We start from the raw sequence: 26,621 nt of genomic DNA on the forward strand, positions 1-26,621 counted from the left end.
TGAACACAGCATGGGCAAAGCGGAAATTTATAGGCGGGGAGCAGGGTAGGGGCTAGTGGATGGAAATTACTAATAGGAAACATCTGTGATAAGGGGGACTCTGGCCAAATCAACTGAAAGTATCCTTACAGGGTTAACAAGAATTACACACCAGGGTCTGGACAGAAATATAGTTATAATTAAGCATTAATCAGGCTGCACTTTGGCTCACTTCCTTGTAACTGAATCATGTAGCACTAGATACTGACCACTTACATCCCCATTGTTCCTACAGATAGGAATTCTGATGTTAGAGTCATAGGCTTTTGTTTAAGAATTGCTTAAGATGTTCTTTAGATCTGGAATTCCAATGGAATGACTGATGTCAACCAGTTTGAGGACCTCCACAGAGAAACTGAATCAGCATGACAATGTAGTTTTTTCATCTCTCAACCCATGACTTCACCCTGCACTCTGCAAACTGTACCACTCTGCCACACTTTGGCCCACCTAAAATTCCTGTCCCAAATTTTTTTTAGGGCGGCAGTTTTGAGGTTTCCTACTGTTTCTTCATTTGGCTGCCCTATGATTATTAAACTCTCTCTGCTGCAGTCCCCAGTGTCTCAGTATATTCACTTGCTGTGCATCAGGCAAATGAACCTATTATATGACCTAATAGGATTCTTGCTGAAGATATCCAGGATGATCAGATATTGGAGATAGGGGATTCTTGTTAAATTGACTTAGCAAGGATGGCTAAAACTGGATTTTACCAGGAAGTGCACAGATGGGCAAAGGTTCAGATGGCCAAGTAAATTTGGCCATCTAGGATTAAAGAGTCATTGCTAGTTGTCAACTTATCCTTACTACAAGAAAAAGCTGGACAAATTAAAAACAAATGACTTACCTTGGACACATCAGAGAACTGAATTTGCAGAGAAGACGGCCACCCTGAAATCTGTTGAGACAGGCATATCCAGAACATCACAGGAGAGGTCTGCTTACCTGGGGTAGAAGCGGCTAGAGGTGAAAACAGGTAGATGCACTTTAAATGGTAATTTTGGTAAATTGCTAAAGGCTGAGCGTGGATTACCTTGAGAGTAAGAAACACTTGGACGCTTCAGTCTCACATTTATAGGCTTGCCCTTCAGGAAACCCACCAGGTTCTCCTAATAATGATTTGAGAAAATTCCCCTGCAGACCCGGCAAGGGGAGGGGAAGAGTAACCCTTGTGAAACAAGCCCAGAGTGTTCTTATAACGAAGCCCTACTCTCCCGGAGAAAGGACTTCAGTCAGATCTCTTTCTCTGTGATGACTCTCCCAGTTCTGCTCTTCTCAGTATATTGGCTTCATTATCAAGCCAGCTCTTTCATAATGGCAAAGTAACCGCTGCAGTTCCAGCATTCACATCTACATCCTATGCAGACCAGAGGAAGAGTGTCTTCTCCACTAGCTCTCAAAGAGCAACAGAGTCTCTCCCTAATTAGCCCCCTGAAACTCTCCCTTATGTTTTATCGCAACAAATTGGGTCATAGTCCCATTTGGAACCAATCCTTCTGCCTGAGGGAATGTCATGCGTTGAGTTTCTTAGTTTGGGCTTTTGGGAGTTAGGCTAGAGTTGGGGAATTACTTTTAAGGTGAGGGAAATATCTGAGCAAGTGTTCAGAAGCTTGCTCAAACTATTTCCCTCACCTTGAAAGTAACTCCCCAACTCTGGATGGGTGCGGTGGCTCACGCCTGTAATCCCAGCACTTTGGGAGGCTGAGGCAGGTGGATCACCTGAGGTAAGTATGTCAAGACCAGCCAGGCCAACATGGTGAAACCCCATCTCTACTGATAATACAAAAAATTAGCCAGGCATGATGGCAGGCACCTATAATCTCAGCTACTGGGGAGGATGAGGCAGGAGAATCACTTGAGCCCAGGAGGTGAAGCTTGCAGTGAGCTGAGATCACACTACTGCACTCCAGCCTGGGCAACAGAGGGAGACTCAGTGTCAAAAAAAAAAAAAAAAAAAAAAAAGTAATTCCCCAACTCATTCACTCACCTCTTCTCTCCATCACCACATTCTCTCACTCTCTCTTTTTTTTTTTAGGTTTTTCCAAGAATATGTAAAATGAGACTTGGAGTTTAATTAAAATCAGAACAGGGATACATTAAACAAACAAACAAAAAATACTTTTCTGATTATCAATTCTTGAGACTCAAAGCATCCCCCAAAACATTGGATATCCAGCTTATTCCCGAGAGACATCAACCATCACAAAATGTTTTCACTCTGAACTATTCACATTTTTGTAGCAGAAAACAGAACAAAGTTCTGCAGACATCCTTTCTCTCTTCTTTCTAAAATGTATTCACAGACAGGGTCTTTTCATAGTTCAAAAGAAAAACAGGTTTCTTTCTTGGCCAAATGGCCTTCTACTCTCACCCTGGGATCTGATTTCTTAATAAGAAAGTTCAGGGCACCAAATCCAGCCAGAAATTCCCAGGACACCATTGGCTACTTAACTATGAGGGGATGGATGCTTTAGTCTTTCTATGAGGGGAGTCATTCTCCCGGGATTATTATGTCAGTCGATAGTCCCTGGAGAGGTAGGTGGGAAGGAGGGTGAATGCAAAAGCTAAAGGGTCAGAGAAAAGAATGAGGCTTTTATGAACAACTCATAGCAAGGCAGAATGGTCCAGTTTTACAAACCACCCACTGCAGACTCCAAGCATGCACACCCAAAAACTAGAGGGGAAACGAAAGAGTTCCTGGGGGACAAGGGGATACAAAACATGGTGACATAGAACAGCAGGCTCGCCTATGAACATTTCTCACCTTGCTAACACTGGAAGATGTTTAACTAAAAGGTTGCTGTTCAAAATTGTACTGAAAACATATCTAAAAATAGGTCTGTCATCATCTTAAAAATAAACGGTCACTTCTCAGATAAGAGGAGTGACAGATGTTCTCATATACCAACACTTGAGGTATATTTGATGTAAATTTGAAAAATGGCCTGGTAGAGAGAAAGGAAAGAAAGGAAAGAGGAAGACAGTGAGGGAGGTAGGGAGGGAAATTCAGAGTACAATAGGAAAGGCAAGAAAACTGGTAGGAACACATTTTTTAAGCCCGTGCTTATCTATCCCAGCAGCCAAACAAAGCAGATCCAGAAAGGAAAAAAATGCAGTTTTTTTTCTAAGAACATTCTGAAAATCAGCTTCAAACTCAAAACATAAGAAACTGCAATCTGAGAACAACTATCACAAGGCTCACTGGACTTAAACATGACGACTGAGACTGGGCACTCAAATGGGTCAACGCTCTTCAGAGGTCATTCTTAGGCGTTATCTGACACAATACTATGATCAGGCCTTACCCACCAAGTAAAGGCTAAAGTGACTCTATTACTTGGTACGGACCTGCTCTAGAAGCAGACAAAATCACCTCGCTTTCTTGAAGTACAAGAGGACTCTGCCAGCAACAAGATGCAAGCAAGAAGGAGTGGCAGAAGAAGAACAAAACTGGTTACCAAAGGCTCTTTTCTGATGCACAGTGTTAAACATACCTGCACAAATGCTCTAAGTAAAAGAACGGGAAGATGAACTATAATACCAAAGACAGAAGACATTCCTCCTCGAGGAAAGAAGGGAAGGGGACCTCAAAACAGTGTCACAGGGTAATGCTACCAGAGTTGGCCAAACTGTGCTCTGTTCCAAGGGACAAATACCTCAAGGTGAAAGGGAAAGCAGCTCTCTTTTTATCATTTCCCCTTGCTGGCTTTAAAGACCCCAAGCCCAGACTCTTGCAACACTGAACCATAGGTGGGATGCAGGGAGGAGAGACAGAGGGTAAGGAACATGAATGGTGTTAGGCCCACAAAGCTTCTGTATCCCTTTCCCAGACTTCCCAGCCAGGCAGTTGTTGGTCGTTGATATTTGATTTGGGACAAAATTGCAAGGTATGAGGCTGGCTCTCAAAAAAACAACTAGGAAAGCCAGAGTTTAACTGTTTTCCTCTAAACTGAGCTCTACAGAAATACACCAAGAGCCTTCAATCTAACCTGTTTAAGTGGGAAGGGGAACAGGAGACATTTAAAGGCTTAGCTCTAGAATCACCTCCTTCAGGATCATTTCCCCTACACACAGATTGCTTCAGGTGCTCTTCTCCTTCCTGTTCCTCCATTGTGGCACTTGACAGTGTTACATGGTTGGTGGTTTGTGTGTTTCTTTTTCTCCTAGCTGTTTATGCTACTGAATTAGCAGCATGTAGTGCAGCCACACTTAGTAAATGCTCCACATTTATGTGTTGAAGATAATTGGTGAAATGAAATAACTTTAGCTTTAATGGTGGAAGCCTTGCTTGAGGCTTACTGGAATTATTGCATCTGATCAGAAGTAGCCATTGACTCAGAATTGTTTTATATAAATCCTTCCCATTCCTCTCTTTCTCTTGTCTTCCACCTCCCCTTCCTCCTCTATTACACGCAATGTATATCGGAAAATTCTAAGCACATCTGACTACTGATATTCAAGAGATTTGACCATAGAATTTTGGAATAAGTTGCTTCATTTTGGAGTCACATTGAATGTGAAAACCTGAGAATGCATATTTTTGGGCTGGCATCTAATCATTAATAGCTGTGCCTTTTCTCAAGCACTTCAAATTTCTGAATTAATACATGATTTATATATATCTGAATTGTAAATAGTATAAAAGAGCCTCATCTGCTTTGGTTCAAACTGCAGCCCTAACTCTCATCAGTTGTATGAATTTGAGCAATTTACTTAACTTCTTAATGCTGTTTCTTCATCTGTAACAGAGCTGTTGTGAAGATTTAATGAGATAATAAAAATAGAGCATTGGGAATGATGCTATGTGTAATAAGTGCTCAATAAACCTGAACTTTTAATTCTATTATTCTAAAGTAAAACAATGAATTCCACCATAGACTCAAGGTGTCATTATTTTTAAGTGATGTTTGTATATTAATTTGTTATGTATCCTAAAGCTTGAATCATTTATGCCTTCATGCTTTTTAAAATTCATACCATTTTCATCTTGGTCTTTTCTCCATACATTCACCTATTAGATATTTTTAAATTTTATTTTTTCATTCATTTATTCATCCATGGCAAGGCTACATACCAAAGTCTTCACTCTTAAATTTTCTGTAAGTCTCTCTCCCTCTCTGCTATCTCACTGGTATCCTGAGTGCTGTTGGTCACTACCACCTTCCCAGCTCCCACAAAACAGAAAAAAAAAAAAATAGATTCAAAGAAGCCCTGGTTCAAAGAATAAGACAGAAAAACTTGGAGGTTTGCCAGCAAAGTTGGATACATAGAAGCTCATTTGATCCATTCAATAATCCTATGAATTAGACACTATTATTACCCCGACTTTACATATAAGGAAACTGAGTCAAAGAGCAGTTAGGTAGCTTGACCAAAGCCAAACAGAAAGTGGAAGAGAGAGAAATGAAATCCAGGTTGTCTAGCTCCTCAGTTGGACAAAAATCATCTCATCCTTATTCTGGAATGACTCATTATTCAGTTCAAGGGAGAGGCAGAAAAATAGATATAACATAGGTAAGTATTAAAAATATGGATTAATGAAAAATGCTCAGAAAGCAGAGAGGAGGGAATGGCCAACTATCAGGGACATCCAGTCCTATCCTGAAGGATAAATGGATTTTCCAGGTGGAAAGGGGTGTGCAAACACTGTGGGCTACAGGAACAATGTGTGCAAAGACCAGGGAGGTAGAAGAGCCTGATTCAGTTTAAGGAATGCCAGAGGGCTGTTTGGATGTCTACACAGAAGGAGACATTGGAGACATGACAGTGGACACATACCCCAAAATATGGCACATTGGCATTTAAGAAAACAGCAGAATTAGGAAGGTCATCCCCACTTTACCCTCACCCTTCTTTTCTGAAGTAGGTCAGAAGTCCATTATTGAGGTGCCCTCCTTAAACTCAGAATAAAGAAACATTCTTATCTCTGAAGACACAAGGACACAGAGAAGCTGAACAAACAAGTCTTCCTAATGTTGGGACTCAGAAAATAATACCCCAAAAGTTTGGTGCTTTGACATGCTGAATACTTTACTTATTTATGTATTTATTTTTGAGACAGAGTCTCACTCTGTTGCCCAGGCTGGAGAGCAGTGGCATGATCCCAGCTCACCACAACCTCCGCCTCCTGGGTTCAAGCAGTTCTCATGCCTCAGCCTCCCAAATAGCTAGGATTACAGGTGTGTGCCACCACACCTGGCTAATTTCTTGTATTTTTAGGAGAGATGGGGTTTTTAGGAGAGATAGGGCCTGTTATCTGTCATGTGATGTTATACCAGAGTTAGGCTGGACTTGGTATCTTATTGCTACAAAGAGTTTATTCTGTGAGTCTAAGGATCTCTACTTTAATGTTAATGCTGCCTCAAAAAAAAAAAAAAAGACATTTACTATCTACTCTTTCTGAAGCCTGCTTACCTGGAGACTTCATCTATATAACAAGAACTTTGGCTTCCATAAGCCCTCTATTTTAACCCTAAGCATTTCTTTTTGCTGATTTTAACTCTCTAGGCAAAGCTTAACTCATTCAAGCAATTGCAAATCAGGAAATCTTTAAATCCACCTAAGACCTGGAAGCTCCTGCTTTGAGATGTTCCAGCTTTCTGGGCCAAACCAATGTATTACTTACATTTATTGATGTATGTCTTTGCCTGTAACTTGTGTTTGCCTAAAATGTATAAAATCAAGCCATAACACATACACTTTGGGCCCATGTTCTCAGGGCCCCCTGAGGCTGTGTCACAGGTCATGGCCCTTACATTTGGCTCAGGATAAACCTTTTCAAATATTTTACAGAGTTTGGCTTTTTTCATCAACATGGGGCAAAGGCTAAATATACTTTATATTGTACCACGAGGGCTATAAATCCTGATGAGTAATCTATTGTCTGAAGAGGGAGCTGGTTGTGCAGTCTGTTGTTCAGATAAATGTATTTTTAGGAAGTTTCTTTGTCAACCAATAACATTATTTGTAACTTAACCTCACTGGGTGAGAATTTCCCAAAATAGTAAAGTGCTGTTACTATAGACATTTCTAATTCTTAATCCTATTAAGCTGTGTGGTTGATACAGGTTAATATAGGAAGGGTCCCTCCTACCGCCGGATTTTTTTTTTTAACTAAGAAAATATATTTAAAGCATTAGCAAAAAGTAAAAATTCTAACACTTAGCAATGTAAACCTATGTAAGTTTAAAATAGGTAAAGGTAAAAATTAAGAAACAATTGCTTCAGTCCAGGTAAAATTTAGTACATTCAAGAACAAGGTTCATGGCAATGGGAATGGATAGGAAAGATATAGTCAAGTATTGTTCAGAATATGAAACTTAGAGGACATTATAGATTGAATGGGGAGGGTGAGGAGAGGGAAAGTGTGACCACCACAGCCATTTGGATGAATGATAAAGCTGCTTACTAAGATACAGAATGGAGAAGATGAAGCAGATTTTGAGGAATGAACTTAATTTTGGATACACTGCTGTTATTTGAAGGGACAGAAATGAAAAGGCACTCTCTCTCACTTTCTCTCTCTCTCTCTCCCTCTCTCTCTCTCTCTACATATATATATATATATACTTTTTTTTTTTTTTTTTGAGATGGAGTTTCGCTCTTGTTGCCCTGGGTGGAGTGCAATGGTGTGCAATCTTGGCTCACCGCAAGCTCCACCTCCCTGATTCAAGCTATTCTCCTGCCTCAGCCTCCCGAGCAGCTGGGAATACAGGCATGTGCCACACCTGGCTAATTTTGTATTTTTAGTAGAGATGGGGTTTCTCCATGTTGGTCGGGCTGGTCTCAAACTCCTGACCTCAGGTGATCCACCCGCCTCGGCCTCCCAAAGTACTGGGATTATAGGCCTGAGCCACTGTGCTCAGCCTATATTTTTTACATTAATAAAAAATTAAGTGTAGTCTTTGCTGGGACACATTTAATTGAGGAGGCAGTTGGGAACACATGTCTGGAGCTCAGGATAGTAGTAAAGCCTGGTGGTCAAAGCAGAATAAAGATCAATGCTATGGCTCAGTGGATGGTAGCATCTGTCCTTGCCCTGCCCTTGCGGGATTGTAATGTATTGTGTGTGTATTAAAGTTGCTAAAGCATTGAGACTTGTTCATTTTATTAATTCAATGAAACTAATCAGGCATCACCATGGTTAATAACCCTCCTTGTAAACCACAGCAGGAAATTTTCTGATTCTAGGCAGAACACAATGGCCATAAATTTTGCACTATGAATTATAGAAGAATGCAGAAATCCTATGCCAGTCCTTAACTGAGCAACCACAGGAGGGCTAATTGTCTGCAATCCTCTCTCTTCCTCATGCTCAAGGTCTGGGAACTAATTTCAATTGCTGATTAAAATGGTCATTTCCTCCCTTGTATTTCAGTGTTCATAACTACATCCTTAGAATTCCACAAATTCCATCAAGTGTTAGGAGTGATGGAGCTGTATAGTAAGGATAAGTCTTTCACCCAGTACTGAGGACACAGAGCTAATAATGAATAGGAAAGGATGCAAGGGGCATGCTGAAAAGTTAGAGGCTACAGTGGCTAGGCCAGTTTCACCATGATGTAGTAACTGTTGGAGTTCAGAAAGTAATACCCCGAAGGATGACGCTATGGCATGCTGAACACTTTGAACTACAGTGAATTATAAGAACTTAGAAGCAGCCCCAGAACCAAGGACTTTTCAACATTCTCCTGTGTTTCCCCCTAAGTACAGGGTGGAAATCTCTCTCTCTGAAGTTCCAGTATCTGAAGTTTGGAATACAATTGCCTTCAGTCCCCTCCCTGAAATTGTATTAACCAGAGAATATTAGATTCATATCTCGGAAAGGAAGACTGAGGAATGTCACCACACCTAGACACTTTGACACAGGCTATTGTTTTCCAGTCCCATTCAATTTCCAAAGAGAGTTACTTACAAACTATCATTTATTCTTTGGGCTCAAACAACTCTCCTGAAAATAATTTACTGCCATTCAAAATTGCTTATATTCCCCCATTTCCCTATCTCCTGTAAAGAGAGTATTTAAGCATCAACCATTTGGCCCTTCTTTGAGTATCGTACCTTGCTTGGCTCTTGTGCACACTTGCACATTAATACATTTATGTGTCCTTTCTCCTGTTAATCTATTGCCAGTCTATTGCAGCAGACTTGAAACTTCAGATAAAGGAAAAAGTTTCCTTTGCCTCTAACATAACCAATATTCTAGCCAAGGGAAAAAATTTCTTCATTCTTCTTCAATGTTTACTCTAAGATATAAGCCAGGAAGCTCCTAACACTTTTATGAACCTTAGAATCAAGTAAAAGAAGATCTTAAATTAAAGACTTCTGAAAAACTGAGGTTAAGTCCAGACGACTTATTCAACTCAGAGTCTTGAATAAAGCAACTAGCGGCAACCTCCAAAATTCAGACTCTTTCTGAGTACTCTTACACATCCAAGGTCAAAGGAAAGGGCTTTAGTATGGATTTTCATTTCTTTCTCTCTATGAAACTGGATTTGTTACCTGTGATCAAAGTTAAAGAGGTATTTACACTTGAAGGCCTACAAGCCTTCTAAAAATATTGTCTGCAAAATTTTTATTTAACTCATTTTTAAACTTATTCATTATTGTTAAAATAGTAGAAAACGGATTAGAGTTGAAGGCAGATAAACTGAATTCTAATTTTAGCATTTCTTCATTCATCTAAGCAACATGTTTGCAAATCTATGTAACACTGGGCAAGTGATGGAACTTCCAATATGCCTCGACTCTTTCTTCACAAAATGAGTGAGTGAGATTAGATGATGTCTAAGTTCATTCTAGCACCAATATTCTTTTATAAAATTAAAGATGAGTTCTATTGGGAAAAGAATAATCCTACTGAATTGTATTTATCTCTTAAAAAAACCAAATGTCACATAAATAAATAAAAAATGGTGTAATGGTGAAACATTAATAAAGATACCAAGTCAGAAAGAACTGAGCTTGTCAATAAAACCTAAAAAGTGGCAGATGCCATGTCTGTAATCCCAGCACTTTAAGAAGCTGAGGTGGGTGGATCATTTGAAGTGAGGAGTTTGAGACCAGCCTGGCCAACATGATGAAACCCTATCTCTACTAAAAATACAAAAAATTAGCCCGGCGTTGCGGCGCACATCTGTAATCCCAGCTACTCAGGAAGCTGAGGCAGGAGAATTGCTTGAACCCAGGAGGCAGAGGTTGCAGTGAGCCAAGATCGCGCCATTGCACTTTAGCTTGGGTAACAGAGTGAGACTTGGTCTCAAAAAATAATAATAAATAAATAAATAAATGGCAGACTCAAGGTAGTGCCATGAGAATTCCAAAGCTTTTAGTCTGAAAGATGCTTAATTTATATGTCTTACAGTTGGAATTCTATTAGGAAAATAGTGGGGATTTTTGTATAGATTTTCTAACCCTACCAAATTCTTAATTCTTAATAATAAAACAGAGGAGAAAATTAAAACAGAGCCAGAGCTGAAACAAGCATCAGAAATACTGTTTTGCTTAACCATGTATTTTCTTTTCTCAACCATATTTCTATTCCACTGCAAGGTGTATAGTCGTCTAGGTTATAACAATAACAAGTCACAAACACTGTTAAGCACAGCTATGTGCCGAAGAGTCTGTTAAACGCTGTACACAGTTTCACACTGGATTTTCACAGAAATTCTATAAAATAACCATTACAATTACCCCCCACTTAACAGTGCAAGAAATGGAGATTTTGAAGTCCCTTTTTGTTTTTTTCGTTTTTTTAGATGGAGTCTGGCTCCATCACCCAGTCTGGAGTGCAGTGGCGCGATCTCGGCTCACCACAAGCTCCGCCTCCCGGGTTCACGCCATTCTCCTGCCTCAGTCTCCCCAGTAGCTGGGACTACAGGCGCCCGCCACCACGCCCGGCTAATTTTTTTTTGTATTTTTTTAGTAGAGATGGGGTTTCACCGTGTTAGCCAGGATGGTCTCGATCTCCTGACCTCGTGATCCGCCCGCCTCAGCCTCCTAAAGTGCTGGGATTACAAGTGTGAGCCACCGCGCCCAGCCTGAAGTCCTTTTAAGTAACTTGCTTAGGGACACACTACATAGCTAGGAAGCATCAGAGTTATAATTCAAATCCAAGCCTCTCTGTGCTTAAAGTCAGAGTTCTTGTTTCTATTCATATTTCACACTTTCTTTTCCTCGTCTCTATAGAACAGTGGATGCCATAATGATCAGTGCTGACTCAAAGGGAAAAGAGAGCTGTTCTAGGTATGAATTATAGGCACATGGTGTCCTTAAGAGAACCTGGTGGCAGGGCACAGTGGCTCACGCCTGTAATTCCCAGCACTTTGGGAGGCTGAGGTGGGCGGATCACGAGGTCAGGAGATCAAGACTATCCTGGCTAACACAGTGAAACCCAATCTATACTGAAAATATAAAGAGTTAGCCTAGAGAAGTGGTGGGCTCCTGTAGTCCCAGCTACTCGGGAGGCTGAGGCAGGAGAATGGCCTGAACCTGGAAGGTGGAGCTTGCAGTGAGCCGAGATGGTGCAAGTGCACTCCACCCTGGGCGACAGAGCGAGACTCCATCTCAAAAAAAAAAAAAAAGAGAGAACGTCGTAAATAGTTGTTGGCTTGTCTGTGTAAGTTGACTTCACCACAGAACAATTCTGGAGATAAATTTACTGACTAGAATTTTACCAGTTATTTAATCCAATATAAAATATAACATCATTTCACATAATGAACAACACATGGGTAATGAGGTTCAGAACATACCACCCCAATACATGACTATAGGAGACAAGAATATGCCACTGTAAAAATATGCCTCTTTGGCGTATTGATTGTTTTGAGCTGGTTTGAGAAACTACAGACAGATAAGCTCTGAAAGGCTATCCTTTTGTAAAGAAATGTACATTCATAGAGGAAATTTTCATTAGTAAAGTTATCTGTATCAGGAAGAGAGCTACTCTGAGACAACTTTTGTCACCTGAGAGATTTTTATCTGAATAACAAGGCAACTTTTATTCATTGTATATTTCCCTCCTTTACCCTCCCGGAATTTGTCTCTATCAGCCCCTAGAGGCCACAAAATCCTATTCGTTTTTGCAGCTCAAAATGATATATAAAACTCAATCATCTGGGTGCTTCTTTGAACCTCATATTTTTGTGAAACTCCTGTGTGTACGTTTGCAATTAAAATTGTTTTTCTCCTGTTAATCTGTCTTTTGTCAACTTTATTTGTAGACCAGCCAAAGAACCTCAAGGTCTCATGGTGAGTCATTTGCAGAAACAAGGCAGAAATCTGGTCCATCATTTGGCCATATGGTCTTTTAGACCTATCATTGTTCTGGGAAAGTAAAAGGTGATTCATTTCTCACTATTATTTTTTTCTGTGTGATCCAGCCTTTCATGTGTAAATTAGGGGCTCCTTCTGCATGTGAATAGGAGTGGCGGGAAACAGACTGTTAGCTGTGTCTCCTGATCTGTAAGATTTGGATAATTTTTCCATAAACCACCATTTGAGAATATAATTCCATGCTTACTACTATAAAAATCTGAAAAGTCTTGAGGTACTCACAGCCTTATGGTCACTCATAGCTCTGAACCTCAGCGTCCAGGGACTTAGGGGTGTTCATGGGTTTATCTTAATATCATGCTTCTCCTGGCTTTGTTTTATACCTTATTAGCCAAAAACATCAACTTCAGACCTTTCTTCACATTCAACTTTAAAAAAGATCTTCTCTCAAGGGCTTTATGTAAAGCTGATTATGCTAAAAATTTGGACTGGTGCTGATGACAGAGGAAGGATTTACATCTCAGCAACATAAGCAACCAAAAGTTAAACATTAGATATTTGTGTTCATAAAATTTCATCAGCCACTTTGCTGCAGGGGATGTGAATTCACTGTTTTAAAATGCATAGTTCCTGCTTGGGTGGTTTCTCCATTTCTCCATTCCAGTTTTTTATCCTTCTCTCCTCTGATCCTGAAATCCCTATTCTTTTCTCATATACATACCATATTAGTGCATGCAGTCCTGAACTCAACCATAGCACCTGTGTCTCTTTGCCTGAGTGTTTTGTCTGGTCATCTCAGTCAGCCCCATGCATATGATTATGCATGTCTTAGGCCAAAATTACTGGACAATATCCCCTCCTCAGATAATTCTTAACCGATAATTGATGGATACCCATGCGTAGATAACCCAGGTCCCTTACCCTTGGTTTAGGTGACTCTGAGCCTGTGTTCTAAAGGGAGTCTTAGAATCCTTCAGCATGTTTAAGCTCTCGTTGCTAATACATGTTTGACTGGTTTATTTCTCTTCTCAGTCTCTCACTCCCCTACCAGTGTTTTACGAGTTCGCCTCCCATATAAGCCAACTGTTCTCAGATCTTTGTTTCAGGGTCTGCTTCTGGGGGAATCAAAAATAAGAAATGCCCACTTGAAAGATTTGTGAGTTAATTCCCTAAACATGGTTTTCTCCCTAAAAGGAATTAGGATGCAAATTGTTAAGATAAAATATTTATTTTTCCCTTCTGCTCTAAGTATACTTGTCAGAAAGGTTTCCTAATATAATCAACATGCTATTTGGGGGGTTAAAACAGCAGTGACTCTGAAAGTGTGAGGTAACCAAGGCATGCTGATTTATCCTGATCTTCCCATAAAAATGGCATTTTATTTAGAGCATCAGTACTCTTATGCTGAAGAATCACATGTCAAGAGATATCAAGGCTTAAGTTGAAAATGCCAGTAAGAGTATACCTCATATGTGCTTCTCAAGGAAATCCATTTTAATTCCAAGGTGAAGTTTGAGAATCATGATTCTTCTCAGCTTTATGATAATTTAGGAAATAGTAATTCAGCATTTACTATGTGTTCAGAACCATGCGAGACCTAGAAAATATAGAGATAAAAGTAACATATTAGGTGCCCTGCAGGTGTTCATATTCTAATGGAGCAGACAGGCTTTAATCAGCTATGTTAATTCAATGTGGTAAGGGCTCTACTGGAAGGATGCATAAACACCATTTTAGCAGGGTGTTTAGTCTTTGCATGAAACACATACTTAACAATGGCTTACTGGATAAATGGAAGAACAAAATGAAGCCTTTCTAGGTGAGGAATGGAGTTTCCGTACTCTCTTAGATACTTCTGAAATTGTCCTGGGAAACTTGTGTCAATAATCTTTGTGCACAGACATAAAAATTCAGGTTTCAACTTTAATCAAGGATGTTTTAGAGTGTCAGAACCAGGAATGACTTAGAGATTATCTAATTCATTTAGTGAAAAAAATATAAAAGCTAATGGAATATTCCAAGGTCAAATAGAAAAATCATCCAGTTCTATCCTATCATCTTTTACATAAAGCCTTTTCCATATCACACACACACACACACACACACACACACACACACACACACAGAGAGACACGCCCACACAGAGAGTCATACTCCTCTACTCAAACAAGTAAAAATTTGAATTAGAAAAAATAAAGCACCACATTTAGCTAAAGTTTTCTCCAATGTTTTCCAGGGAAAGAGGAAATTAGTACAATTGAACCATTTCAAATATTACAAGACCAGTGTATGACACAATGCAATTGGATTTAGAATAATAGCCTAGGTTGCTTACAAAAGTCCACAGATTACTGTTTTGGGGACAACCTCAAGATTGCCTTTATGTTGAAGAAGATCCTGGTTTATATCTTCAGTTTTTCAGGAAATGTACTGTTTATCTCTCTATTTTTCAGGGAATTTCCCATCATTAAATCTCTAAAAGAGAAAACAAACCCTTCTGGAATTTTATTTTGCTGTTAATTTAAAAGGGAGAGAAAGAGAATGCAGTAAAAATTTTAATTAAAACTGTAGCATTTGGAAGTGCATGGGTTAAGGTTACACTGCATTTATAGGAAAGCTCTTTCCAGCTTTGAAAAAGGAGAAATAATTGCATTGCCAGATTGTGAAGATATGTATTGACGGTAGTGTGAGATGCTCTTGATATAGATTGCCATTGACTTGAATAACTGGCATTTTGCTTAAAAAATGTGATGGAGCATTGACCAGACAAATGCAGGAAGAAAAATGGGGCTAGAGAAATGGTTTAATCATGTTTTAAAAACATGATTAGCAGGTTGAAGAAGAAGCAAAAGTTTTTCTTCATTTATGCAGCAAGAAGACAAGAGTTAGAGTTTCTTAAGATGGCCCAAAAGTTTCTGTATTAAATCATTTGAATGATATACATAGATCTAGAAAAGAATGCTCTTTTCAGAAGTTTTACAAATGGAATGGAAGTGACTGGCCTGACGAGAATTAGGTGAAAGATGAATGTGTGAGTCTGACAGTAGAGAAGCCAGAGGGTTCATATACTAATGAAGTATCTGATTTTAGTGGAGAGGAAGAAGCATTTTTTTTCTTTTTTGTCCAGAAGTAGTTGTGAATGATGGCTTAAAAGGCTTCGCTTGCTAATTTGAAGTGATAGCAGTTTAATAAATCACATCTCCCCAAATCAGAATTATATTGAGCAATCAAATAGCAAATCTTGAGTTTGAAAGTTCCATGCAACCAAGTAGATGTCAATACATAGATACAGAATACAAATACCCAGAAAGTCAGAATCAGACCTTAACTATCCTTTTATTTTCACTAAGCTGGGCCTGTATAAGTAGGCAATAGCCATTTTGCTAAAACCATATTGAGTGCCAACCATGTTCTAGACTCTGTGCTGGGCTGAGGATACAAGAGAGTTTATATTCTGGTAAAGGAAGACATTTAAGATGAACTAATACATTAGATGCAGTGAAAAAGTGCAATATCGAGGTACTATGACTGGTGCAACTAGAAGAATATTAGTAAAAGAATGATCTGAACAGGTGGATCAGAGAAGCCTTCACAGAAAAGAAAATGGTGGATTAGTTTCTTAAAGAAACAGTAGGAGATCACTAGGTGAATGAGTAGTGTCAGGGCCAGCCAGGCAGGAAGAGCAGGCTTTGTAAAGCCACAGTGGCATGATGTAGTATCTTATATTCGGAGAATTACAAGAAATTCTATATTGCCGAAGAGAAGGATGCAAGGGCAGGAGAGTGGGTAGGGGAGTAATTTTGACAAGAGATATGGCTGGAAAGTTAGGTAGGAGCTAGATCACTGAATTTCCTTGCTAGACAAAGTTTGTTGCTAAACTTTAACAAACTAACTTGCTTTGCTGCACTGAGAAAGTCTCAATACAATTTATATGGCTGGCTGTGTTTTGATGGGTCATTTTAAGAATGTGGAGCTATCAGGTTGTCTAGAAAACAATTCCGATGGTGGAAATAAAGGAGTGATGAGCTCTGGGCTACAGAGCTCTTGAAGGAGACCTTCACACATAATGAACTTATTTGAAGTCAAAAAAATTGACAGTGGGAACCGTGCTTGACATTATGAAATATAGGGAAGTGATGTTAGGCCAGTAAGTATGTTTTGGTATGACACAATGTATATTTGTTTCTCTGGGTTACATGGGAGCTTTATCTTCAGGAGAAAGCTCAAGGTGGTTGTAAAGGATTGAACGGTGTTCCCCCAAAATTCATGTCCACCTGGAAGCTCAGAATGTGACATCTGGAAATAGTTTTTGCTGATATATTTAGTTAAGTTAAAATGAAGTCATTTTTTGCTAGATAAATAGAGAAAACAAGATGAGATCACACTGGATTAGGGTAGACTTTAAATCTAATAATTGGTTTCTTTATAAGAAGAGGAAAGGACACACAGAGACAGACAGAACTATATAAAGACAAAGGCAAAGATTGGAGTGAAGTAACACCAAGCAACACGAAAGATTGTCAGGGGTCACCATAAGCTAGAGGAGAGATGGGACTAATTTTTCCCTTGGCGTTTCTAGAAGGAACCAACCCTGCTCATGGCTTGATTTTGAACTTCTAGCCTCCTGAACTATCAGGGTATAAATTTCTGTTGTTTTAAGCTAAGTTCATGATGACGTATTATTAAAACCCTAGGAAACTAATAAGATAGCAAAATATTTTGCTAAGTTGAGAAGTTAATAATTAGTCATCAGGGACTCCAGCAGATTTGGCATTTCATGAATTCTGCCTGAGATTTTGTCATGAAATCTAGATTATAATTCAAATTCCAGATAATGGTTTTGGGAAACAAAAGGGCTTAGAAAAATATTTAAAGTTTGAACCAGTCATATTTAGGTTTCCTTGCTGTCTGTTTCTAGTGTATCACAGTCTGATATGCTAAACAACATAGTCACTGATAACAACTAAAAATGGGTAACATATTAAAACTATGCATTAGTGAGCTAACAACATGGTAAGGCATCCTGAGAGTCCAATGATGTGAACATGGAGCTCCAGAAAGATGAGCCAGTTCTGATGTCAGCTTTTGCCCATCTACTGGGCCTTCATGACCTTCACTTCCTAGTTTGAAGGCTATCCGGGGAACAGGTGAGCAGGAGAAAACATATAGAGCCCAACCAAGGTAATGAGTCTAAATATGACCCCTTCTTGACACTGGGACTGAAGGGCACAATTACAGTGCAAGGGTGAAAAATAAATTACTCCCAGAAGGAAATATTAAGAAAACTTCTCTGTTACCATCTTGGTTTTGAGTAGAAGTGGGAAAAAAATATCTCTAGTGAAATGTCTTAGCTATGAGCCTATTTTCTGGCCACTTTGTAGCCTAAGTTTATATTACTTGTGCAGGTTCAAAAAACTTCAAGTCAAGGTTTAGTTTTAAAGTGACTCCAGGTTGAGACAAAGGCAAGTCCCCTCTAAATCACCTTCAAGCAGGCTTTGAAAAATTTGGACTGATAAAGTTCATCAGCATAACAAAGCTGGACAAATACACATGATGCCAGAGAGTAGGAGCAGATGTGAAGTATCTGCAGATACTGGAATGACCAAGTGAAGAATATAAACTTTGTATGTTTAACTTGTTACAATAAATAAAATATAAGATTAACATAAGTTTAGATGACAATAAAATATGATAAAAATGCCTGAAAATAAATCAAACAGATCTTTGAGATATAAATAAGTAAATTGAATTTAAAACCATAATAAATGGCTAAAGAGCAAATAGTATACAGATGAAAAAAGTTAATGAACTGAAAAATAGATATGAAAAAATTACCCAAAAGCTACACAAGCAGATACAGAGGTAGACAATTTCAAAGAGGAGAGTTTTAACATGTTAGAATGAGAAGGTCTAACATGCATCTAATTGGAATTATTAGGAATTATTTAGAATTCCAAAATAAAATAATGGAATGTGTGAGAGGCAAAATTAGAAGTAATTATGCCTGAGTGTTAAAAAAATAATAATTTGAGATAAATAATTTAAAAATATAAAAAATCTTAAAGACTTAATGAATTCTTAATTTCAGAAACCCAAAAACGTTTCCAAGCAGCTTAAATAAAAATAAATATACCTCTAGACATTTGTTAGTGGAATTGCAGAAAACCAAAGAAAAAGAGATGATCATAAATGCAGTCAGAGAGAAAAGACAGATTATCTGAAAAAGAATAACAAGTAGACTAACAGCAAACTTCTCAACAGCAGAGAAAGAAGGGAGAAGCCAGTGAAATATGTTTTAAAGTAACTGAGAGAAAATAGCTGCTAACCTAGAATTTTAAATCCAAATAAACCTATATTTCAAGGATAAATGTAAAACTATTTTTCAGGTAAAAGCAGAAGCACTTTGCCAAAAACAGATCTTTACCAACGGAACTATTTCAAGTAGAAAGAAAAAAAATCCCAGATGAAAGGTCTTAAGTGAAAGATGTGTTGATGAGCAGAGGAAGAGTTTAATATGATGCTACATCTGGACAAACACTATATAAAAAAATCACAGTGTCTTGTAGGCTTAAAAGAAGATAGAATTAAAATACATAGAAATATGAATGTATATTTTGGGAGGCGGTGACTAGAGTCAACTTTGATTAATTTTTTTAATTATGTCTATTAAAATTGCTGGCATAACCACTAAAAGACTAGAAAATCACTTATATAAGCTGCATGTTATTTGAGGGCAAAAGAGAATGATTCAAATAAAAAAATTCAATTAATAGAAGTCAAAGTAAAGAAAAGAAGTTAGCAAAAAACAGCACACATAGCATAAGATACAGTGGTGACAACAGCTTTAAATATATTACAAATCACAATAAATGCAAAGGGCTAAACTCTTTGAGACAAAGATAGTGAATGCAATGTGGTATCCTGAATTAGATGCCGGAACAGAAAAGGAACATTAGTGAAAAGGCTAATGAAATACAAAAAGTCTGTAGTTTACTTAGTTGCACTCTATTAATGTTGATTTTTCAGTTTTGACAAATGTATTGTTACCGGAGGGTCTTTGTTCTTAGAACTCCCAAGGTAGTGGCAGGCTGCTCCCAAGATGGCAGCAAGCCTTTGTTCTCTGACCTGGGGTTCTTGGCCTCACGGATTCCAAGGAATGGAGCCTTGGGCCCTGAGGTGAGTGTTATAGCACTATTAGAAGCCGTGGGTCATGGAAGAGAACCGTGGAACCCAGCGACTAGCATTCAGCTCGATTAGGACCAACCTGAGCACTTAGTCGCGCTAGGAACAATGGTGAGCCTCTAACCCTATCGGAGCGGCAATGGGTGCCTCGCTGGATCAGAAGCTAAACAGACACCCTGCCGGATCTGGAGGGGTGGAAGTCAATGGCGGGTCTGCGACGGCGGCGTTCAGCAGTGGTGGACGGTGAACAAAAGCTCAGCCTGAGCCGGAACAAACGCGGCCCAGAAGAGTGTGCAGTTGCAAGATTTAATAGAGTGAAAACAGAGCTTCCATACGATGGGAGGGGACCCAAAGGGGGTTGCCACTGCTGGCTCAAATGCCCTGGGTTTATATCCCTATAATTGTCCCTCCTCCTGTGCTCTCAGGCAATAGATCATTTGATTATTTCTTTACCTCCTGCTTTTAGCCTAATTTGTATTTTAGTGAGCCCTCTTATTACCTGATCGGTCGGGTGTGAGCTGAGTTACAAGCCCTGTATTTAAAGGTGAGTGAGGTCACCTTCCCCAGCTAGCCTTAGGAATTCTTAGTCGGCCTAGGAAGTCCAGCTAGTCCTGTCTCTCAGTATCAAGGTTATATAATATGTTAATATGAGAGGAAGCTAGGTAAAGGGCATATAGAAACTATTATACTTGCAACTTTTCTGTAAATATAAAATTATTTCAAAAAAGTTTATTTAAAAAGTCAAAGGTAGTTCTAATGGACTTTTTAAAAAATATAACTCATTTATGAGAGATATAATTAAAATGAAGAATCAGACTAGTTGAAAGTGAGAGAATAAAAATTATATGTCATCAAATCCCAATAAACAGAAATATGGGTGCTGGGCATGGTGGCTCACATCTGTAATCCCAGCACTTTGGAAGGCCAAGGTGTGAAGACCACTTGAGGCCAGGAGAGCAAGACTAGTCTAGGCAACACAGTGAGACCCTGCCTCTACCAAAAATAATGAAAAAAATTAGCCAGTTGTGATGGTGGCGAACACCTATAGTCCAAGCTACTTGGGAGGCTGAGACGGGAGGATTGCTTGAGCCCAGGAGTTCGAGGCTGCAGTGAGCTATAATCATGCCACTGCACTCCAGCCTGGATGACAGAGCAAGACCCTGTCTCAGGAAAATGGAACAAAACATACATATGGTATTGCTGTTATAACACATCAGACAAAATATGTTTAAAGAGGAAAGGTGGATACACATAAACATAGAGATGGAAAAAAGTCTGGGTCTAGTGGCTCATGCCTGTAATCCCACACTTTGGGAGGCTGAGACAGGTGGATCAATTGAGGCCAGGAGTTTGAGACCACCCTGGACAACATGGCAAAACCCTGTCTCTATCAAAAATACAAAAATTAGCCAGGTGTGGTGGCACACATCTGTAATCTCAGCTATTCGGGAGGCTGAGGCAAGGGAATTGCTGGAACTGGGGAGGTGGAGGTTGCAGTGAGTCGAAATCATGCCACTGCACTCCAGCCTGGGTGACAAAGCAAGTCTCCATCTCAAAAAAAAAAAAAAAAAGAAAAGAAAAGAAAATGATAGACAATGGGGACTGCAAAAGAGGGGAAGGTGGGAAGGGAACAGGAGTTGAAAAATTGCCTATCAGGTACAATGTTCACTGTTTGGGTGATGAGTACACTAAAAACTCAATCCCCACCAGTAAGTGATATATCCATGTAATAAATAAGCACAGGTACCCCTTGAGTCTAAAATTTAAAAAAATGATACTTCAGCAGCTTTCTGTGGGGGGGGGGGGGGGAAGAGTAGTGGTAAGCATGTCATGGCTTGTGTGACCTAATGTTTAGCTTCTGGGAAGGCTTCTTACCCCATCCCTACCTCACAATCCAAAGGATCACATTATATACTCCCATCAACTTAAAATACCATGTTTGATGTAGAAAAAAAGTACTTGCTCATCTTAGACGAATGAGTTTTCTTTATTAAAAGCAATATTTGATAGGTGAAGAGAGAGCAATTTCTGTATAACATCGCTGGCTACCTGAGGGGGCTATGAAGGTACTGAATAAAGAGACAGGGAACTCCTAAACCAAAGTTTACTTGGCATAAGACAACATTTTTTTCAGAGTATATATTTGGAAAACATTTGGTCTTAGACACGTTTATCAAAATGAAAAAGGTTTATAATCAATTGAGTTTAGAAAATAAACTCAGGGAGCATTACTAGAAATAAAGAGGGTTACTTCATATTTATAAGACAATCAACTCTCAATGTTGATAAAACAATTAAAAATATAGGTATGTCGTATTAGTCTGTTCTTACATTGCTGTAAAGAACTACCTGAGACTGGGCAATTTATAAAGAAAATAGGTTTAATTGATTCACAGTTCTGCAGGCTGTACAGGAAGCATGGCAAGGGAACCTCAGGAAACTTACAATCATGGTGGAAAGGTGAAGGAGAAGCAAGCACATCTTACCATGGTGGAGCAATAGAGAGAGAGTGAAGCGGGAAGTGCTATACACTTTTAAATAACCAGATCTCGTGATAACTCACTCACTATCACAAGAACAGCAAGGGGAAATCCACCTTCATGATCCAGTCACTTCCTGCCAGGTCCCTCCCCCAACATTGGGAATTACAATTTGACATGAGATTTGGGTGGGAACACAGAGCCAAACCATATCATCTGTAGTAACATAGCCTCAAAATATATCAATAAAAGATTGACAAAACTATTAGGGGAAAAAAGAACATACCCATCCTCACAGTTGGAAATTTTAATATTTCCCTCTCAGTACTTGATGGATAAAGCAGACAACAGTCAGAACAAATATTGATTATTTGGTCAATTCAATAGCAACCTTGATCTAATGATCTGCTCTATATAGGACGTTATGTTTAGCAACTGGAGAATACACATGAGTATTTTAGAAATTTTGAAATATTAGAGGTTGTTCTAATGACCTATTATTGATTTCTACCTTAATTGTATAATGGTTAAAAATGAAGTCTTTCTACTAAACTATGGTGAATTTCAAACTTGGTGATTTTCAAAGTCAATTTTCATGTCCTGCGTAAGCTTGAAAAGAAGGTCAGTATAGAATATTTATAGCCAGCTTTGAGAGAAATGTATAGTTAGAAACTTTTATATTAGAAGCAAAGGATGAATGTTACCATGCTAACATCCATTTCAAGGGGCTAGAAAAAGAAGAGTAGAATAAACTTAGGCATCTTTCTTTCCCTTAGTGTCAGTGATTAGAGAATCACTGTAATTCTTTGTTGAAATGTCACAAGACGAAAGACCCTGAAAATATGATGTGATAATATGACCCACTCCAAAAAAAGTCCCCCAGTGAGCTATGGTGGTTTCAATAATACTGCTTATTCTTTCAGAAGGCTGTGGGAATGTAAGGGTGGGCAGGACTAAGCTAGGCTAGAGGCTGGGGAAAAGAGCTCTCTGAAGAAAAAGGATTTAAACTGAACTCTCAAGGGCAAGCAGGATTCATCTAGCAAAGAACCCTTACTGTACAACTCTGAAGAAGACAATCTTTCTGCTGAGAAGTTTGGTTCCTCTTTTCTGGATTCAATAAAGTCTGACACAGAGCTCAGAGAGAACCTTGCCTGGCAGGGACATGGAAAAGCTGACCAGCACTAACCTCTCTTTCTCAGGAACAAGGTCTTTTCTGCCTCTTAACTGCTCAGAATTCATGAGCCAAAGATGTTTGTCTCATTAACCTCATGTTAGGGAGAAGAGGATGAAAATGAGTTGATCAATCAGGACTTTGTTTCCTAGTAGCTGATTATAATCATCCAGATACATATGCCTGATTGAAATTGTTCATGATTGAAGATTGGATAGTTGAAGCGGGCTGGTCTCATGGAAGTTTAATCAAATGTTTGATGCAGTGAAAAATGTACTGGACTGGGAGGCAGGGGACTCCAGTTCTTGTTTCTAGTTCATCTACAACCAGCTATGCGATTTGGAGAATTTCCTGTTATCTCTGTATTGCCAGTCTACTAATTTGAAATGAAGGGGTGGGGTTTCATAATCTATGAGACACTGTTGAGCTGACTAACATCTCTACTTATCTTCACTAGAGGGTGAACAAGACCTCCTGTGCTTTGGGTATTGGGTTTTGGGCAATCGAATGGCAGTGGTGATAATGATAATAGCACTAAAAATAGCTAACCACATTCTGAGGGCTACACATTTCACATGCCTGACTTCATTTAGTACTCACAATAACCCTATGAGGTAAAAAATACTCTTGGCCTCATCTTACAGTCAGGAACCTGAAACAAAAGGAAGTAAAGTAACTTGCCCAAGGTCATGTGCTCATAAAGCATGGAGTCAGGGGTGAACCAATCACACAGGCTGACTGCACATAGCAACCACATACACACTACCTTGCCATCTGAGAAGGTGCTTGGGGAGGGAGGAAGGGGGGACATGAGAGAGACCACCACCAAGTGAAAGAAGGAAATGGAGTAAAAGATAGGTTGGGGCTATGACACACTTCATCTGTTTCCCAATTTGGTTTAAGACAGGCCATGACAAGCCAGCCACATTGCACATCTCCAAGGGCATTAGCCACATCCACACAGAGTGTGTTCTTCAGTGGGCAGGTATGTGCAAACCTACCCCCAAAGTCCCAGGAAGCTGAGAGGCTGAAGAAAGAGGCTGGCATATTTAGTGTGGCATATTTCTCAAAAAGAAACATTTAATAGGGACTTACAAACAGAAGCCATGTTTGTGTCTCAGGTGTAGGTGAGACAAGATGGTGGATCCCATGCCGTTACTCTCCAGACCCAGGGCTTATATACCATAGAGAAAGGTGACTCAGAATGGATGTCTAGGATGACTGAAGTATAAAAGCATTAAGACTGTTTGACCTGAGGGCAGAATTTATGGTAAGTACCTGCTCTTACACAAGGAACAATAGATAAACTGGAAGTCTTAGAGGCCTTCCCAGAACAGGCTTAATTGAAGTCAGTGTGGTAGATCAGCATCCAAGATGGAGTTACTTTGGACTCCAAAGAGTGCAGTGTGAATGGCACACTCTGGAGTTGTCCAACATGCAGCCCTGGGCCAGGTAAAGTACAATAAGAGGGGCAGCATCTACTTCACCCTCTCAAAATCGCTTCCGTCCTTTCTTCTCACTGCTGGGGTGAGACTCAACCTACTCTAAATTTATGTGAGGTAGATGTAGGAGGTGGGAGGTGGAAATCAGCCTTCAAAAAGATAAAATTTTAATATGCTTAATATAAACCAGAAAGTTTTCTAAATTTAAAGCTCATTTATTCAAGAAAAGATATTCATATTAATACACAAAGACACATATGAATCTGATTGTTTCAGACCTACTAGCAGAGAGAATCTTCTTTCTGACCCTTTCTTCTTTTCTGTAGCTCAGGATATTTGGAAGATGTATACAAACTCTTGGCTTTATTTGGCTTCTTTCCCCAAGAAAATGTTGATCTTGCTTGCAAGGTAAACTCTTATAGGACCATAGACCTTTCCCTTTGTAGTTTAGGCAGTTTGCTGTCTGAGTAGATGATAGAAATGGACATAGAAATTCTAAATTAGTATATAAAGGGGATTTCAGTTTAAGGAGAGGTGATTAATAATGGGATCCTGGAGTTCTGAGATGATTGTTCTCTTGTCAAGAAGAGTATTTATTTCTTGCTTCTGCTCAAAAACAGGAGGGACCTATTACTAGAATCTTTGAGGCCCTTGAGAAACCAATGGGCTTTGACAAGCTATGCTGGTTTAATTGGAGTCAATATTCTTGTGGTTATGTTGATTTGATTATATTATCATGCCTGTTACATCATGATCCTGTTGAAGGAACAGCCTTATGCAGTTAACTTTGTAACAGGAAAAAATAAATGTAATTTACAAAATTAGACTTTCATAAGAATCATGTCATTAAAAAAAGAGAATCAATCATGTCAGAATTTTTCATTCGTTCTTTTACAAAATGGTGGATAGGAGGCAGGACTAACTTGTAGCTCCCACTTGGATGGACAGAGCAGTGTGTGGAGACTCACATAGTGAATTTTTGCTCCAAGAACTACTGCAGGAACATACTAGGAAAGCCGAGAGAATCCACAAACCCTTTGAAAGAAGCAGGTTGCTGTTGCAGGCCTCCGGAGACAGCTAAAAAACTGTCCAAAGTGTGAAAGTGTGAAAGGGGAATTGTCTGCCCTCAAACACACCCCCTCACTGGGGAACTTGAAGGTCCAGATCATGGGAGGATTTGATCTTACCTGGAGCTGAGACAAATTTAGTGAGCTGAGCAAAGTACAGGGGTAGAAGAAGCAGAGGGATGAGCCCTGTGGGGTCTTTATGTCCCAAGGGAAGCCGTTTCTGAGTTTGTCTCACAGAGGTCCTTGGGGAGGGCTGCCAGAGGAACTGAGAAAAGACCACAGGGAGAAGGAAACTTCTAGCTGAATTTGTAACAGTTTTCACCGAACACAAAGTTTCCTGGAGAGAATCTGAGGGTGTGTGGAGGGGTGTGAATTTGGAATGCAGACATAGCACAGAACCTGTAGCAGGTGGGGAGATGCTAAACTTGAAAACCCTGCGTGCTTTCTCAGCCGTGAGACTGGTAGCCCGGGGCAAGTTCTCAGCCCTGTTCACCTTCTGCCTGGAAATAAACTTGGTGCTGTTGGGGTGGGGGCACAATGGGAGTGAGATCAGCCTTTTGGGCTGCAAGGGAGCTGCGTGAATCCTGTAACTGCTGGCTTTCCCCTCTTCCCTGGTGACCTGGATGATGCAGCAGAGGCAGCCATAATCTTCCTGAGAACATAACTCCATTGGTGTGAGAACCACACCCATACCCCACAGTAGCTGCAGCAAGCCCCATCTAAGGAGAGTCTGAGCTCATGTGTTTATTTATTCTTTTGTTGATAGTTCTACCAGTAGAGTGCAGTGATTAAAGGTATTAAGTTTGGAATTTAACAGCTGGACTTAAATCCCAGCCTTCAACTTTCTAGCTGTGTGTTCTTGGGAAAATGATTTAATCTCTTGAGTTCAGATTTTCTTAATTGTAAATGGGATTAATAGTAGTACCTATCCGAACCCCCCTTTGCAAAGACATAACGGCAGGAG

At 39.5% G+C, this 26,621-nt stretch overlaps 1 long non-coding RNA gene and 1 pseudogene across 1 annotated transcript, besides 3 other annotated features; both read right to left on the bottom strand.

Annotated features, from left to right (window-relative positions):
- Nucleotides 1-744: an enhancer, noted in NCBI's record as "OCT4-NANOG-H3K27ac hESC enhancer chr11:103495902-103496645 (GRCh37/hg19 assembly coordinates)". NCBI's record gives its function as "activates a minimal SCP1, AML or CMV promoter by ChIP-STARR-seq in naive H9 embryonic stem cells {active_cell/tissue: H9 hESC(naive)}" and the evidence as "EXISTENCE:reporter gene assay evidence [ECO:0000049][PMID:30033119]".
- Nucleotides 1-1,514: a biological region, named in NCBI's record as "P300/CBP strongly-dependent group 1 enhancer GRCh37_chr11:103496216-103497415".
- Nucleotides 315-1,514: an enhancer, noted in NCBI's record as "P300/CBP strongly-dependent group 1 enhancer chr11:103496216-103497415 (GRCh37/hg19 assembly coordinates)". NCBI's record gives its function as "activates an origin of replication core promoter dependent on BRD2, BRD4, P300/CBP, MED14 and CDK7 cofactors, with strong dependence on P300/CBP, by STARR-seq in HCT116 cells {active_cell/tissue: HCT116}" and the evidence as "EXISTENCE:reporter gene assay evidence [ECO:0000049][PMID:35650434]".
- LOC105369463 (uncharacterized) lies at nt 789-26,107 on the bottom strand. The gene is made up of 4 exons (XR_001748343.2): nt 25,778-26,107; nt 24,873-25,053; nt 13,781-13,912; nt 789-984 (listed from the first exon to the last, which is right to left on the bottom strand). It is a non-coding gene; the product is annotated as an uncharacterized LOC105369463 (long non-coding RNA).
- On the bottom strand, nt 2,071-4,058 carry LOC100190922 (eukaryotic translation initiation factor 4E binding protein 2 pseudogene; annotated as a pseudogene).
- Nucleotides 26,108-26,621: the final 514 nt, after the last annotated feature.

The sequence above is a fragment of the Homo sapiens genome, chromosome 11, assembly GCF_000001405.40.
Source record: "Homo sapiens chromosome 11, GRCh38.p14 Primary Assembly".
NCBI classification, from domain to species: Eukaryota; Metazoa; Chordata; class Mammalia; order Primates; family Hominidae; genus Homo; species Homo sapiens.